The sequence below is a fragment of the Homo sapiens genome, chromosome 7 (genome assembly GCF_000001405.40).
Source record: "Homo sapiens chromosome 7, GRCh38.p14 Primary Assembly".
Taxonomy (NCBI): domain Eukaryota; kingdom Metazoa; phylum Chordata; class Mammalia; order Primates; family Hominidae; genus Homo; species Homo sapiens.
In genome coordinates this window covers 27,272,155-27,287,241 of record NC_000007.14, presented here as the reverse complement: position 1 = coordinate 27,287,241, position 15,087 = coordinate 27,272,155, and positions in this window count along the sequence as shown.

The following is a 15,087-nucleotide window of genomic DNA, read 5'->3' as shown; positions in this document are numbered from 1 at the left end:
TTCTTGATCTTTCCCTTGTGGTCACAAAATGGCTGTCAGCTATTACTGTTTCAATGGCAGAAAGCAAGGGCACATGGCAATGGCGAGAAGGGCCAGCTCTCATATTATATCTGTTCCTTTTATCAAGAAACACAGACTCTTTTCCAGAAGGCTCCCAGTAGACTTGTTTTATGGTTCAGAGGTCAGATCTAGCTGCAGGGGAGGTTGGAAAAGTAAAAAGTAGGTTTCCAGGGCTGGGTGCCGTGGCTGCCTGTAATCCCAGCACTTTGGGAAGCTGAGGCAGGCGGATCATCTGAGGTCAGGAGTTTGAGACCAGCCTGACCAACATGGCGAAACCCTGTCTCAACTAAAAATACAAATAATAATAATAATAATAATAATAATAATAATAATAATAATTAGCCTGTAGTCCCAGCTACTCAGGAGACTGAGACAGGAGAATTGCTTGAACCCAGGAAGCGGAGGTTGCAGTGAGCCAAGATTGCTGCTGCACTCCAGCCTGGGCAACAGAGCAAGACTCTGTCTCAAAAAAACAGACAAACAAAACAAACAAACAAAACAAAACTAGATTTCCAGACAGTATGGTGGGAGGAGCAAAGAGACTAGGGATTACGTTTAGATAGCCAACCAACAGCATCTTCCAGAACAGGGGTGTCCAAACTTTTGGCTTCCCTGGGCCACATTGGAAGAAGAATTGTCTTGGGCCACACATAAAATACACTAACCCTAATGACAGCTGATAAGCTATAAAAAAATTGCAAAAAACTCTCATAATGTTTAAGAAAGTTTACAAATTTGTGTTGGTCCGCATTCAAAACTGTCCTGAAAAAAAAAAAAAAAAGCCGTCCCGACCCACATGTGGCCCATGGGCTACAGGTTGGGCAAACTTGTTCTAGAGCTTCCTAACTAGTTCCTTGCTTCCAGACTTGCTCCCCAAAGCCCATTTTCTACACAGCAGTCAAAGCATTCTTTTAAAAATGTACTCTGACCTTATTGTTCCCTTACTTAACACTATTCAAAGGTTCTCTTTTTACTTAGATTAAGTCTGAACTCCTTCCTCAGCCTACCATGCCCTGCACTATCATCTGAGCCCTGTCCTGTTCTTCTGACTGTACTTCTCATGCCCATCTCCTAACTCACTATTTCATGCCCATGATGACCTTCTGTCAGTCCCGCTTCAGAGACTCTGCACCTGTTTCCTCTTTGGGGATAATTTCCCTTCCCATATTTCACCCAGCAGCTCCTTCTTACAGCAGGTCTCACCTACAGACTACACTATTTAAAGTAGGGTTTGTGGACTCAAATCCCATTATTCTCTTTCACCAAATCTTGTTTATTTCCTTAGTTGCACTTATCACAATGCTTAATTTCACTTATTACAACTAGTCATTATTTTATGTTTGTATTCTTATTGTCTGCCTCCGCCACTAGGATGTGAGCTATAGGAAGATGAATATCACCTTCTTGTTCACCCTTTTATGACCACCTTTCAGCACAGTACTTGACACATCATAAGTGTTCAGTAAATATTAGCTGAATGAACAAACACATTCTCAAGAATTGGGGCCAAGTGCAGTGGCTCATGCCTGTAATCTTAGCACTCTGGGAGGCTGGGTGGGAGGATCACTCAAACTCAGGAGTTCAAGACCAGGCTGGGCAACATAGTGAGACCTCATCTCTACAAAAAGTTGAAAAATTAGCCAGGCATGGTGATACACACCTGTAGTCCCAGCTACTTGGGAGGCTGAGGTGGGAGGATCACTTGAGCCCAGGAGGTTGGGGCTGCAGTAAGCCCTAATCACTCCACTGCACTCCAGCCTGGGAAACAGAGCAAGACTCTGTCAAAAAAAAAAAAAAAAAAAAAAAAAGAACTGGTCTTAGATGATGAGAGGAGGAAAAAGAAGCAGAAGGTAATCAAAGGCATAAGAAGATATGCTCAAAGGAGTATATCTCATAGGCCAGGGGAAGATATGGCTTCAGGAGGGTAAGGGTAAGATTCACCAATATCAGATGCCATGAAAATATCAAAGAGAAGAAAGAGTTAACAACATCAATGGATTTGAGTTGGGGGAACAAGTGGTGAGTTGGGTCTAAAAGTTATATAGGCAGTGCATGTTGTATCTCTTGCTTAAAGAGCCTCAAAATCAAAGAGATAATGTAATGGCCCTGAAAGTAAATGGTTTGCTTTCCTTCTTGGATCCAAGAGACACTATATGTACCTTTTTTATGCTTCAATTTTCCGACTATGAAGCAGCAAAAGAAATTTTTAAAATCTTCCTCCCTACCTTGGTGGGATACCTTGAACATCAAGTAACAGACATAAAATAATTTAAGCACCCAGGATGCTAAAAAACAGAATGTTTTAATACTAATCCAGGAGACAGATGTGTAATTGGAAAAGGACCCAAAACAAGCATGTTCATTCTTCTCCATTGGAATAACCAGTCCCTCCATATTATTCCATAATCTTTACTGCACTCTAAATCTACTCCGCCTAATATAACTTCCATACTTAATTATTACTAGTAGGTTGGCACAAAAGCCACACAAGTTTTGAGTGGAGAGACTTTCAGAGTAATTGCCCATAAAGTTTTATCCTTTTCATTTAATTGTCATGTGGTATGATTCAAGTCATCACAAGAGGAGCAGAGACAATTCGGAGACACTGCCTATGAATCATATTAGAATGGAACTTGGTGAAATTTAGGAAAGAATATTTGAGGGAAATCAGAAATGTCTGATGGCCGTCCTTCCCGAGTTATCCTCATAGCACAAATTCATGTGGCTATTTCCATTATACATCCATGAACTCTAAAATATTATCCTACATACTTTTAGAAAAGTCAACAGAAATAAATGCCTTACCTTCAGATCTACAGAGTAGGTTTTATTTGCACAACATCAAAATTGTTTCTCGTGAATAGCCCCACAGATGGAGGAAAAGGTGGATCAGAGGTTAGGTGGCCAAGATTCCATCTACATCCTTAACTGTGACAAGACCAAAGAACTCCACTAGGTCTTAGTAAAAGTAAGGGTCTACCTAAATAGTCTGTTACTTAAGTCTATCTAAAAATTAATGAGAGCACAGCCTTTAATTATAGCATAAAATGACATTTTGGAAATTAAAGTATGCTTTTCTTCATTGAAAAATTTAGTAAATGAATTGAGGGAAAGGATAGCTGGTCACTGTGGAGGTATAAATTAGAGGCCAAAAGGAAGAAATGTCTCAATAACAAAAATATAAAGAGATAGAGGAAAAAAGATAAAAGGCATAACGGATATCTATTTTGTGAGTAATAGGAATTCTAAAGGGAGAAAAACCAATGAAAGAGAGGTAATGATTAAACAAATGGAAGGAATATTCCTTAGTCTGCAGCTTAAAAGGGCACACCAAGTTACTGGCAAGTTCAGTGATAGAAAGCACACACCTGGGAATATCACTCTAAGATTCCTGGACTCCAAGGATACAAAGGAAAGCTTGTCAGCTTTTAGACAGAATGAATAACTCACAAAGGACGCAGGCTGACACCGGATTTCTTTTCCTCAACACAGGAATCTGAAATAACATCACAGGTTTTCTAAGAAAGGCTATTGTCTTTCAAGATGTCATTCACCTATAGAGGCGAAAGGATGATATTTCCATTTATGGAAGGACTAAAAAATATATCACCCATGGGCCTCATCTGAGGATATTATGGTCTAGATTAGAACAGAAATCACTAAATACCTCAGCCTAACCTAGGAGATGAGAGCAGAGGATGAGTGGGAAGGGAAGAAAAAGACTTCAAAGACCTCATCTGGAAGAGGAAGGAAACAGAGAAAGAGGGATAGGAAAGTAAAGGTCTGATTTATGTTGAAGGAAATGGGGTCAGGGGGATATAACATCTTATCAAGGTACAAAGTAAGCTTTTTTTTTTTTTTTTTTTTTTTTGAGACGGAGTCTCACTCTTTCGCCCAAGCTGGACTGCAGTGGCGCTATCCCGGCTCACTGCAAGCTCCGCCTCTTGGGTTCATGCCATTCTCCTGCCTCAGCCTCCCGAGTAGCTGGGATTACAGGCGCCCACCACCACGCCCGGCTAATTTTTTGTATTTTTAGTAGAGACGGGGTTTCACCGTGTTAGCCAGGATGGTCTCGATCTCCTGACCTCGTGATCCGCCCGCCTCGGCCTCCCAAAGTGCTGGGATTACAGGCGTGAGCCACTGAGCCCAGCTGCTTTTCACTTTCTATATAGATTGATCTTTTTACTATAAGACATATTTTCTAAATTTTCATATTATCTAAAAAACTAGATAATTGAAAATGCACGGGCCAGGCACAGTGGCTCACACCTGTAATCCCAGCACTTTGGGAGGCCAAGGCAGGTGGATCACCTGAGGTCGGGAGTTTGAGACCAGCCTGACCAACATGGAGAAATCTTGTCTCTACTAAAAATACAAAATTAGCTGGGTGTGGTGGCACATGCCTGTAATCCCAGCTACTCAGGAGGCGAGGCAGGAGAATCAGTTGAACCAGGGAGGTGGAGGTTGTGGTGAGCCAAGATTGCGCCGCTGTACTCCAGCCTGGGCAACAAGAGTGAAACTCTGTCTCAAAAAAAAAAAAAAAAAAAAATGCACATGTCCTTTTACCTAGAGATTACATTCCTAGGAAGTTACCCAACCATCCAACACTATACCTGCACATGTGTGGAAAAATAATGGTGTAATGTGTGTCCTTGTACATAGGTTTACAATAGGAAAACAAAACGAAAGTAGAAACCACCAAAATATCCACCAGTAAGGAATTAGTTAAGTAAGTATTGGTACCTTCTTACAATGGCATATTATACAGCCACCAAAAAGAATGAAAGAGATCTATATGTACAGATGTAGAAAGATGAAGTTCAAGACATCATTTACTGAAAATAGCAAGTTGCTCAACAGTATTGCGATCACATTTGTAGAGCTTTTTAAAGGACATATATACATATGACAGTGAACATTGCTGGCAGGAAATTTTAACCCTGTTTACCTCTGGGTAGTATAATTGAACATTGAGAAGTAAGAAGGTGAACTTTTGTTTTTTTCCTTATCTACTTCTGTCTTTTGCATAGTTTTAATTTTTTCCCATGAACATAACCTTTTTAATTTAAAGTAACAGCTAACTTTTTAATAGTATAATAAATACGTGTGGGCCGGGCTTGGTGGCTCACGCCTGTAATCCCAGCACTTTGGGAGGCCGAGGTGGGTGGATCACGAGGTCAGGAGATCGAGACCATCCTGGCCAACATGGTGAAACCCTGTCTCTACTAAAAATACAAAAATTAGCTGGGCATGGTAGCGTATGCCTGTAATCTCAGCTACTTGGGAGGCTGAGGCAGTAGAATCGCTTGAACGAGGGAGTTGGAGGTTGCAGTGAGCCAAGATCGCGCCACTGCACTTCAGCCTGGCAACAGAGTGAGACTCTGTCTCAAAAAATAAATAAATAAATAAATATGTGTGTATACATGTGTATGTGCATGTATGTGTGTGTGTGCAACTGCACCTCATATATTAAAAATATCAGAGAATATAAAATATCAAATGCTGGTTACAAAAATATATTACTACATGGCATCTTTATTTTATTATTATTTTTTTTCGAGACGGAGTCTTGCTCTGTCTGCCCAGGCTGGAGTGCAGTGGCGTGATCTCAGCTCACTGCAACCTCCGCATCCCGGGTTCAAGTGATTCTCCTGCCTCAGCCTTCCGACTAGCTGGAATTACAGACACCCGCTACCACATCCAGCTAATTTTTGTATTTTTGGTAGAGACAGGATTTCACCCGTTTTAGCCAGGCTGGTCTCGAACTCCTGACCTCGTGAACCACCCGCCTTGGTCTCCCAAAGTGCTGGGATTACAGGCATGAGCCACTGCGCGCAGCCATGGCATCTTTATTCAATAACTTGCACTTAATTTTAAATTTTCAAGCATTTTTACCTTGGTATTCTTGGATACCTTTTTCCACCTCCTGCAACTAATTACTCCCACTGTTTCTCCCATAAAATGTATGGCCCCATTAGGAAGCCTGACTGTGGGGTACATGTACCGTCCCTGTCTTCTGAAATCTTCAATATCCTGCAAAGCATTTGAGAAACATTTAATCTGTAATATATAAAAATGAGAAAATCAATTTAATGTGCTATTTGTAAAGTAGAGCATTTTGAAAATCTACGGCTGAACAGTTTCATCAATTATATTGACGTAAATCAAATCTTTGAATAATAAGGATAGTTTTTAAATCTCATTGGGTCTGTTATAAGAACATTTTTATTTAAAAGGTGAACATCTGTTAATACAGCAATGTTACCTGCATATTCAAGAATCGGATGTCTTAGTATCTTTCTATTATAAAATATTTGCCTCATTTCTCTTTTGCAAGTTCATTAGAGTCCACAAATCTTGCTCATGTCTCTCTCCAATGGGACACTTATCTTCAGGGATGAGAGGTAAATTCATTAATACTAGAAGAAATTGTTCTCAGCACAGAAATGGAGGAGTCCTATAATGACATATTAAGCATAACATTCAGAATAGAGATAAATCTTTAGAATATTAGATTTTATCATCTAGTTAGTTTTCCAGGAGTATTTTTATGTTATCACAAATACAGAACAAGAAACTTCCTTCTTTCTTTTCACTTATGCACCTGCTTCTTGCTCTCATAAGTGAGGAGATAATGATCAAACTAAATCATTTATTTGCTATCATTAGACACCACCAAGTGCCTATAGAAATCACTGACCATTCAAACATCTTTCCAAATGGAAACTGCTCCTCAAAATAAAAACCAAGGTGGCTATAAGCTATGATTCAAGGGCAAGCTTTCAGGATTGAAGTCACAGAATCTGGGATCCAAATTCAAGTTTCTCATTTTCTGTTACTGGGAGCTTTAAAAAAACCACAGAGATTTTTCTGAGCAACATTTCCCTAGTTTGCCAAAGAGAAATGATAATTATGTCTATCTTCCATCAAAATCATTCAATAACTATTGATTCTAACAGCAGCAAGATTATATGGAGAGGTAGATGTCATAATATATTTGCAAACATGCACTAGGTATGACATTGAGGGTGAACTCTAGTTCCAGCACAGATCAGAACTTTCCTTGTGGGATGTGGAATTGCTGATGGTCTACACGTGCCACATTTAGCCACCTTGAGCAATGACCCCTCTGGCTCCTCCCACCACATACATCTAACAGAATCATGGAAATTAAAATGCTCCATGGTTGTCCAAAAGCCCTCAACTGCCTACATGCTATACAAGACACTCTGACCTAACCCTTTATAAGGACAATGAAATCCATTGCAGACTGAAAGATTAAAATACTGAGCCCTGGCATTGTTGGAGTAATGTACTGGCATCCCCCAAACCTCCTGGGAAAGTGCTTTCCTAGAGCAGTAGAAAAAAATATAATGCAAATTTACTGTGATTTAAAAAAAATGTTTGGAGTCACAGATTCTTTTGAGTATCTGATAGAAATTATTCCCCTCTCCCCAGAAAAAATACATATGCCCATATATACAATTTCACATACAATTTCAGGGAGTTTGGGTGCTCCCTGAAACCCACCCATAATTAACCTCAGTTTAAAATATAAGTGTGCAAGCCAGGCACGGTGGCTCATGCCTGTAATCCCAGCACTTTGGGAGGCCGAGGCGGGTGGATCACGAGGTCAGGAGATCGAGACCATCCTGGCTAACACGGTGAAACCCCATCTCTACTAAAAATACAAAAAATTAGCTGGGCGTGGTGGTGGGCGCCTGTGGCCCCAGCTACTCGGAGGCTGAGGCAGGAGAATGGCGTGAACCCGGGAGGCGGAGCTGGCAGTGAGCTGAGATTGCGCCACCATACTCTAGCCTAGGTGACAGGACGAGACTCCATCTCAAAAAAAAAAAAAAAAAAAGTGTGCAGATGACAGAATACAAATGTTTTAAAGATCAATAGATACAAAACATGTTTATATCTAAGAAAAAGTATGCCAAAAAAAAATTTTTTTGAGATGGTCTCACTCTATTGCCCAGGCTAGAGAGCAGTAGTGCAATCTCAGCTCACTGCAACCTCCACCTCCCTGGCTCAAGCAGTCCTCCCATCTCAGCCTCCTGAGTAGCTGGGACTATAGGCATGTACCACCACACCCAGCTAATTTTCGTTGTTTTTTGTTTTTTTGTTTTTTTTGTGAGACAGAGTCTCACTCTGTCGCCCAGGCTGGAGTGCAGTGGCGTGATGTCAGCTCACTACAACCTCCGCCTCCTGGGTTCAAGTGATTCTCCTGCCTCAGCCTCCTGAGTAGCTGGGATTATAGGCATGTGCAACCACACCTGGCTAATTTTTGTATTTTTAGTAGAGATGGGGTTTCACCATGTTGGTCAAGCTAATCTCGAACTCCTGACCTCATGATCTGCCCACCTCAGCTTCGCAAAGTTCTGGGATTACAGGCGTGAGCCACCGTGCCTGGCTAATTTTTGTATTTTTAGTAGAGACAGGATTTCGACATATTGCCCAGGCTGGTCTTGAACTCCTGGGCTCAGGTGATCCACCTACCTTGGCCTCCCAAAATGCTGGGATTACAGGCGTTAGCCACTGCATCCAGCCCAAAACATTAATTCTGGGGTTTTACATCCCTTTTGCCAGTTTTCACTGTTTCCCTTGATGGGCTTATATAACTTTTATGGTTAAAAATTCAAGTACATGAGGCTGGGTGCGGCGGCTCACACCTGTAATCCCAGCACTTTGGGAGGTCAAGGCAGGTGGATCATCTGAGGTCTGGAGTTCGAGACCAGCTTGACCAACACGGTGAAACCTCATCTGTACTAAAAATACAAAAAATCAGCCAGTTGTGATGGTGCACGCCTGTAATCCCAGCTACTTGGGAGGCTGAGGCAGGAGAATTGCTTGAACCTGGGCAGTGGAGGTTGCAGTGAGCTGAGATCATGCCACTGCACTCCAGCCTGGGCTACAGAGTCAGACTCTGTCTCAAAAAAAAAAAAAAAAAAAAAAATTCAAGTACATGAATATTCACACAACACAACACAGAAAAATTCAGTTTGTAACCTAAATTTGAACAATTATATTCAAAGGTAAAAATTCCTATTTGGTAGGTAGGTGATTTTGTTGATACAAATAGGGTGAAATTGAAGAGAAATTTCCAGGAAGTGAGTGAAGAGTTCACCACTTGTTTTTACTTGGTAAAAGACCTCTGGAGGAGGTAGGAGTCAGGTCTGTGAGGATGGAAGTTCCCTGATAATTTGTATCCATGGAGAGAGTAACCATAGCAATGGAGCCTGGTCTCCCCATTACCGACCCTGTTATCAACCCCAGTTCTGAAACAGACAGCACTGGGAAAGTCTGAGTGAGCAAAGAAAAAACACAGCACCCTGCCCAGCTTGGGATCCCAAGGACCTGGTGTTCAGCTAGTCTATGAGTCACAACCAGTCAGAAAGACAAGCAGAAGGTCAGGTTGGCCTTTGAGAGCAAAGCAAATCAGAACATGCATTTACTCACGGAGTTCACTGCCTTGTGACAGTGCCAATGTAGCTGGGGACTAGCCCAGGTAAAAGGTCAGTCTATAAATCAGCTGCTAGGGTGGAGAACAGGCATAGAAAGTTTGAATGAAATGACAACTGAAATGAACATAGGTACCTTTTGCCCAGAGTTTTTTTTTTTTTTTTTTTTTTGAGACGGAATCTCGCTCTGTCACCCAGGCTGGAGTGCAGTGGCGCGATCTCGGCTCACTGCAACCTCTGCCCCCCGGATTCAAGCAATTCTCCTGCCTCAGCCTCCCAAGTAGCTGGGATTACAGGCATGTGCCACCACACCTGGCTAATTTTTTTGTATTTTTAGTAGAGACGAGGTTTCACCATATTGGCCAGGCTGGTCTTGAACTCCTGACCTTGTGATCCACCCACCTCGATCTCCCAAAGTGCTGGGATTACAGGCGTGAGCCACCGCGCCTGGCCTTGCCCAGAGTTTTATAACAAAGTTCCTTTCCTAATAACTAATACTTAGGGTATCTTATTAGTTATTTGGTCCTAACCACAATCCTTCTGGATATTAATAGAATGCATGGTAATTCTCAACCTTCCTCATTAAATGTTCCCACTGGTGGAGGCTGAACTTTGATCCATGAAGTCCTGAAGAAGTAGCTCAAAACAGTACACAGAAGCCATGAAATTTCTTTGAAGTTCCTGTGTGCTTATACTTTGATCTTTTTTTTTTTTTTGAGACAGAGTCTTGCAGAGTGCAGTGGCATGATCTCGGCTCACTGCAACCTCCCTCTACCTCCAGGGTTCAAGAGATTCTCCTGCCTCAGCATCCTGAATAGCTGGGACTACAGGCACTCACCACCATGCTGTTACCGGGGGTCCTTGCTCCCAGAGCCCCCAAGATGGTGGCAGGCCACTTCCAAAATGGTGGTGGGCCACTTCCAAGATGGTGACAAGCCTCGTGTTCTCTGACCTGGGGTTCTTGGCCTCACAGATTCCAAGGAATGGAATCTTGAGCCATGTGGTGAGTGTTATAGCTCTATTAGAAGCCATGGGTCACGGAAGAGAACCATGGAACCCAGTGACTAGTGTTCAGCTCGATTAGGACGAACCCAGGCACTTAGCCCTGCAGGAACAATGGCAAGCCTCTAGCCCAATCGGGAGTGGCAATGGGCACCTCGCTGGATCAGGAGCACAGCGGACACCCTGCTGGATCTGGAGGGATGGAAGTCAGTGGCAGGTCTGCGACGGCGGCAAACAGCAGTGGTGGACGGTGAGCGAAAGCTCAGCTTGAGCCATAATAAACATGGACCAGAAGAGAGTGCAGTTGCAAGATTTAATAGAGTGAAAACAGAGCTCCCATACAAAGGGAGGGGACCCAAAGAGGGTAGCCGTTGCTGGCTCGAATGCCTGGATTTATATCCCGATCATTATTCCTCCTGCTGTGCTTTCAGGCAATAGATGATTGGCTATTTCTTTACCTCCTGTTTTTGCCTAATTAGCATTTTAGTGAGCTCGCTTTACTACCTGATTGGTGAGGTGTGAGCTAAGTTGCAAGCCCCGTGTTTAAAGATGGATGCGGTCACCTTCCCAGCTAGGCTTAGGGATTCTTAGTTGGCCTAGGAAATCCAGCTAGTCCTGTCTCTCAATGCCAGGCTAATTTTTGTATTTTTAGAAGAGACGGGGTTTCACCATATTGGCCAGGCTGGTCTCAAACTCTTGACCTCAAGTGATCTGCCTACCTCGGCCTCCCAAAGTGCTGGGATTACAGGCGTGAGCCACTGCGCCCGGCTGTTTGCTCTTAAAATCATGCAAATTTCACATTCTAGTCAGTAGCATATCTGTTTAATCATTCAAAATTATTGTTCCTAAATTTTCTAACAAAGTGAATGTTAGAACATTTCTGCTTACTTGAGGAGTAAAGAGTAAGGCATTACATTTTCTCCATTTTACAAATGAGGAACCATTTTACAAGTGAGGGCCACACAGCTATTTAGTAAAAGAGTTTTTTGTTTTATGTTGTTATTGTTGTTATTGTTTGAGATGGAGTCTCACTGTCGCCTGGGCTGGAGTGCAGTGGTGTGATCTTGGCTCACTGCAACCTCCGCCTCCCGGGTTCAAGTAAGTGATTCTCCTGCCTCAGTCTCCCAAGTAGCTGGGATTACAGGCGCCTGTCACTAGGCCCAGCTAATCTTTTGTATTTTTAGTAGAGACGGGTTTCACCATGTTGGTCAGGCTGGCCTCAAACTCCTGACTTTATAATTCGCCCGCCTTGGCCTCCCATAGTGCTGGGATTACAGGCATGAGCCACTGCGCCCGGCCAAGAGCTGAGTTTTAACAAGCATCTCCTTCAAAACCGGCAACATTCTTTATATGATTACATGTGGCAAATCAGGAAAAGGTGGAGGAATGGGGAAAGGTAAAAGACTTCTTGGTGGAAAGTTTACAGTCAGAAAATGAGATGGTAGATATGGAAATTTGTTGAAGGATTAAATAATGTAATAATCAGCCAAGTACATGAGAATTTCAAAACTCTCTGCACCTCAGTTTCCCCATATGTAAAATGGAGCCAATAACATCTACCTCATAAGGCTGTTGTTAGGGTTAAATGAGGTGATCTATGGAAATTCCTCAGCCCAGTACCTGACCCATGGTAGGCATTCATTAAACAAATGATAGTCTTAGTTATTCTTGGTCAAGAGGACATCTCTACTGTACATCTCTTGAGCACCTTAAATTGAACGTTCCCCAGGCCAAATGTATCACTCTTTTCCTTCCCCCTTCTCTTCCTTCTCCTAACCCACAAGAGAATGTGTTCCCCTTTCTGTGTAGTCTCAACTACTGTTAATGGCTCTACCATTCATCCAACTTAGACCTTCAAAGTCATCCTCAGTCCTCCCTTTTTCTTACCCATCACACCCACTCTGTTAATAACCTCAGAACATTCTATCTCTTACATAGATCTTGAATCCATTCCCTCCTCTTGTCCCCTTTGCTCCTGCCTTTCTCACCTGTCTCCCAGATAACTACAATAAGTCGCCAACTGATTTTTCTATTCTCTACACTGCAGACACAGTGATTGTTCTAACATATAAATCAGATAATCTCACTACCTGATGAAGACGGCCAAATTCTCTTCACAATCTGGCCCCGATGTATTTTCCCAAGTACTCAACCTCTCCACACACACACATACTCTCACACATGCACACACACGTATGCACACACACACACACATGCATGCGTGCAAACACATCAGAGCCCAGCCTTACAGGCCCTTTCAGCATTTCTCCTAAAACCTAGAATCTTCTTGCTCTCAATGATATGGGAAAATATCTACTTATCCTTCAAAACCCAGCTGAGCCAAGTGTTGTGGTGTGTGCCTGCAAGCCCTTCTACTCAGGAGGCTGAGGTAGGAGGATTGCTTGAGCCTGGGAGTTTGAGGCTGCAGTGAGCAATGATTGCACTACTGCACTCCAGCCTGGATGACAGAGTGAGACCCCAACTCAACAAAACAAAACAAAGCAAAACAAAAAAATCTGAAATGCCAACTCTTTGAGAAGCTTTTCAAATATTTTCCTTCTTGCCTGGTTCACCAAATTAGTCTTCTAATTGGTCTCCTGACATCCACCACTAACCTTTTCCAATCTGTTCCCCATGCTGTATCCAGAGTATTCTTTTCAAATGCAAATCTAATCCTGGGTCAGGCTGTCTCCTCAGCATAAACGGCTTCCCATTGCTAAACCCCAAATCTTTACCTCGACACACACACTACCTATCTCCATAGTCACATCTTGTGTCCCTTTCTCACCATTTCGCTGTGATCCAACCACACTGGCCTTCTTTCAGTTTTCACAAACATCAATCTCACTCACGCCTCAAGGTATTTAAATATGCATCTCCTTCTATCCCTACCCTTGTGCTAGTTAAAGCTTACTCATCGTTCAAAACCCAGATCAAATGTCACTGCCTCCAGAAGCCTTCCCAGATCCACCACCCTAGACCAGATTATGGTGTCCCCAGCACCTAGGGTAGTGTCTGGCACACAAGAAGTATTTAGTAGATATTGGTTAAAATCTCTCCCCTGCACACCCGCCACCCCCCAGCCTTTACTCGTACCTTGGCATTTAGCACACTGAAATAGAATTATTTGTACTGAACTGTGTCCATCTGTAGGGTCTGGAAAAAGGAAAAAGTTTTCTTTTTATTTTCTCTTTTATCCCTTTTTTTTTTTTTTTCGAGACAGAGTCTCGGTCTGTCGCCCAGGCTGGAGTGCAGTGCATGATCTCAGCTCACTGCAATCTCCGCCTCCCGGTTTCAAGCAATTCTCCTGCCTCAGCCTCCTGAGTAGCTGGGATTACAGGTGTGTGCCACCATGCCCAGCTAATTTTTGTATTTTTTTTTTTAGTAGAGACGGGGTTTCACCATGTTGGTCAGGCTGTTCTGGAACTCCTGACCTTGTGGTCTGCCTGCCTCAGCATCCCAAAGTGCTGGGATTACAGATGTAATCCAGCCTGTGTGACAGAGACTCCATCTCAAAAAAAAAAAAAAGAAAAAGAAAAGAAATTAAAAACACAGCCAGGTGCAGTGGCTCACGCCTGTAATCCCAACACTTTGGGAGGCCAAGGCAGGCGGATCATGAGGTCAAAAGATCAAGACTATCCTGGCCAACATGGTGAAAACCCATCTCTACTAAAAATACAAAAATTAGCTGGGCATGGTGGCATGCGCCTGTAGTCCCAGCTACTCGGGAGGCTGAGGCAGGAGAATCACTTGAATCTGGGAGGCGGAGGTTGCAGTGAGCTGAGATTGCACCACTGCACTCCAGCCTGGAGACACAGCGAGACTCCATCTAAAAAAAAAAAATAATAAAGAAATAAAAAACAAAAACAAAAAAATGGATAGACAAAAAATGATAAACATAAACTCAAGCATATTAATAACTATATTAAATGTAAATGGTCTAAACATACCAATTAAAAGACAGAGATTATCAAAATAGATTTTTTTAAACATGACCAAACAAACTGTACTCAATATATAAGAAACTCACTTTAAATGTAACTATATAGGTAAATTGAAAGTAAAAAGAAATAAATAAAATAAATAAAAGCATGTAAATACTAATCAAAAGAGGGCTGGAGTGGGATTATTAATAGTAATCCTACTATTATTTTTTTGGCATTTAGCACACTGAAATAGAATTATTTGTACTGAACTGTGTCCATCTGAAGGGTCTGGAAAAAGGTTTCTTTTTATCTTTTCTTTCTTCTTTATTATATCCTTTTTTTTCTCAGTATCCCCTCACACAACCCTGTGCCTGTTGGTTCATGGTTGACATTTCAAAAAATGTTTGTTGAAAGAATGAACTTTACTACAACATAGTCTATATATGGCATGGAGAAGGTCTAAGTCACCATTATTATTTATTCTAAATTAGGATGCATTTTACAAAACAGTCCTGTGGATCAAGGCTCTTTAAAATAGTATGCAAACATTCCATTATATTTCCTGGAGAAGGAGCGCAAACATGTAGAATGATTCTGTCACTTTGGACCATTCTGTTTCAATGTGCTAAATGCCA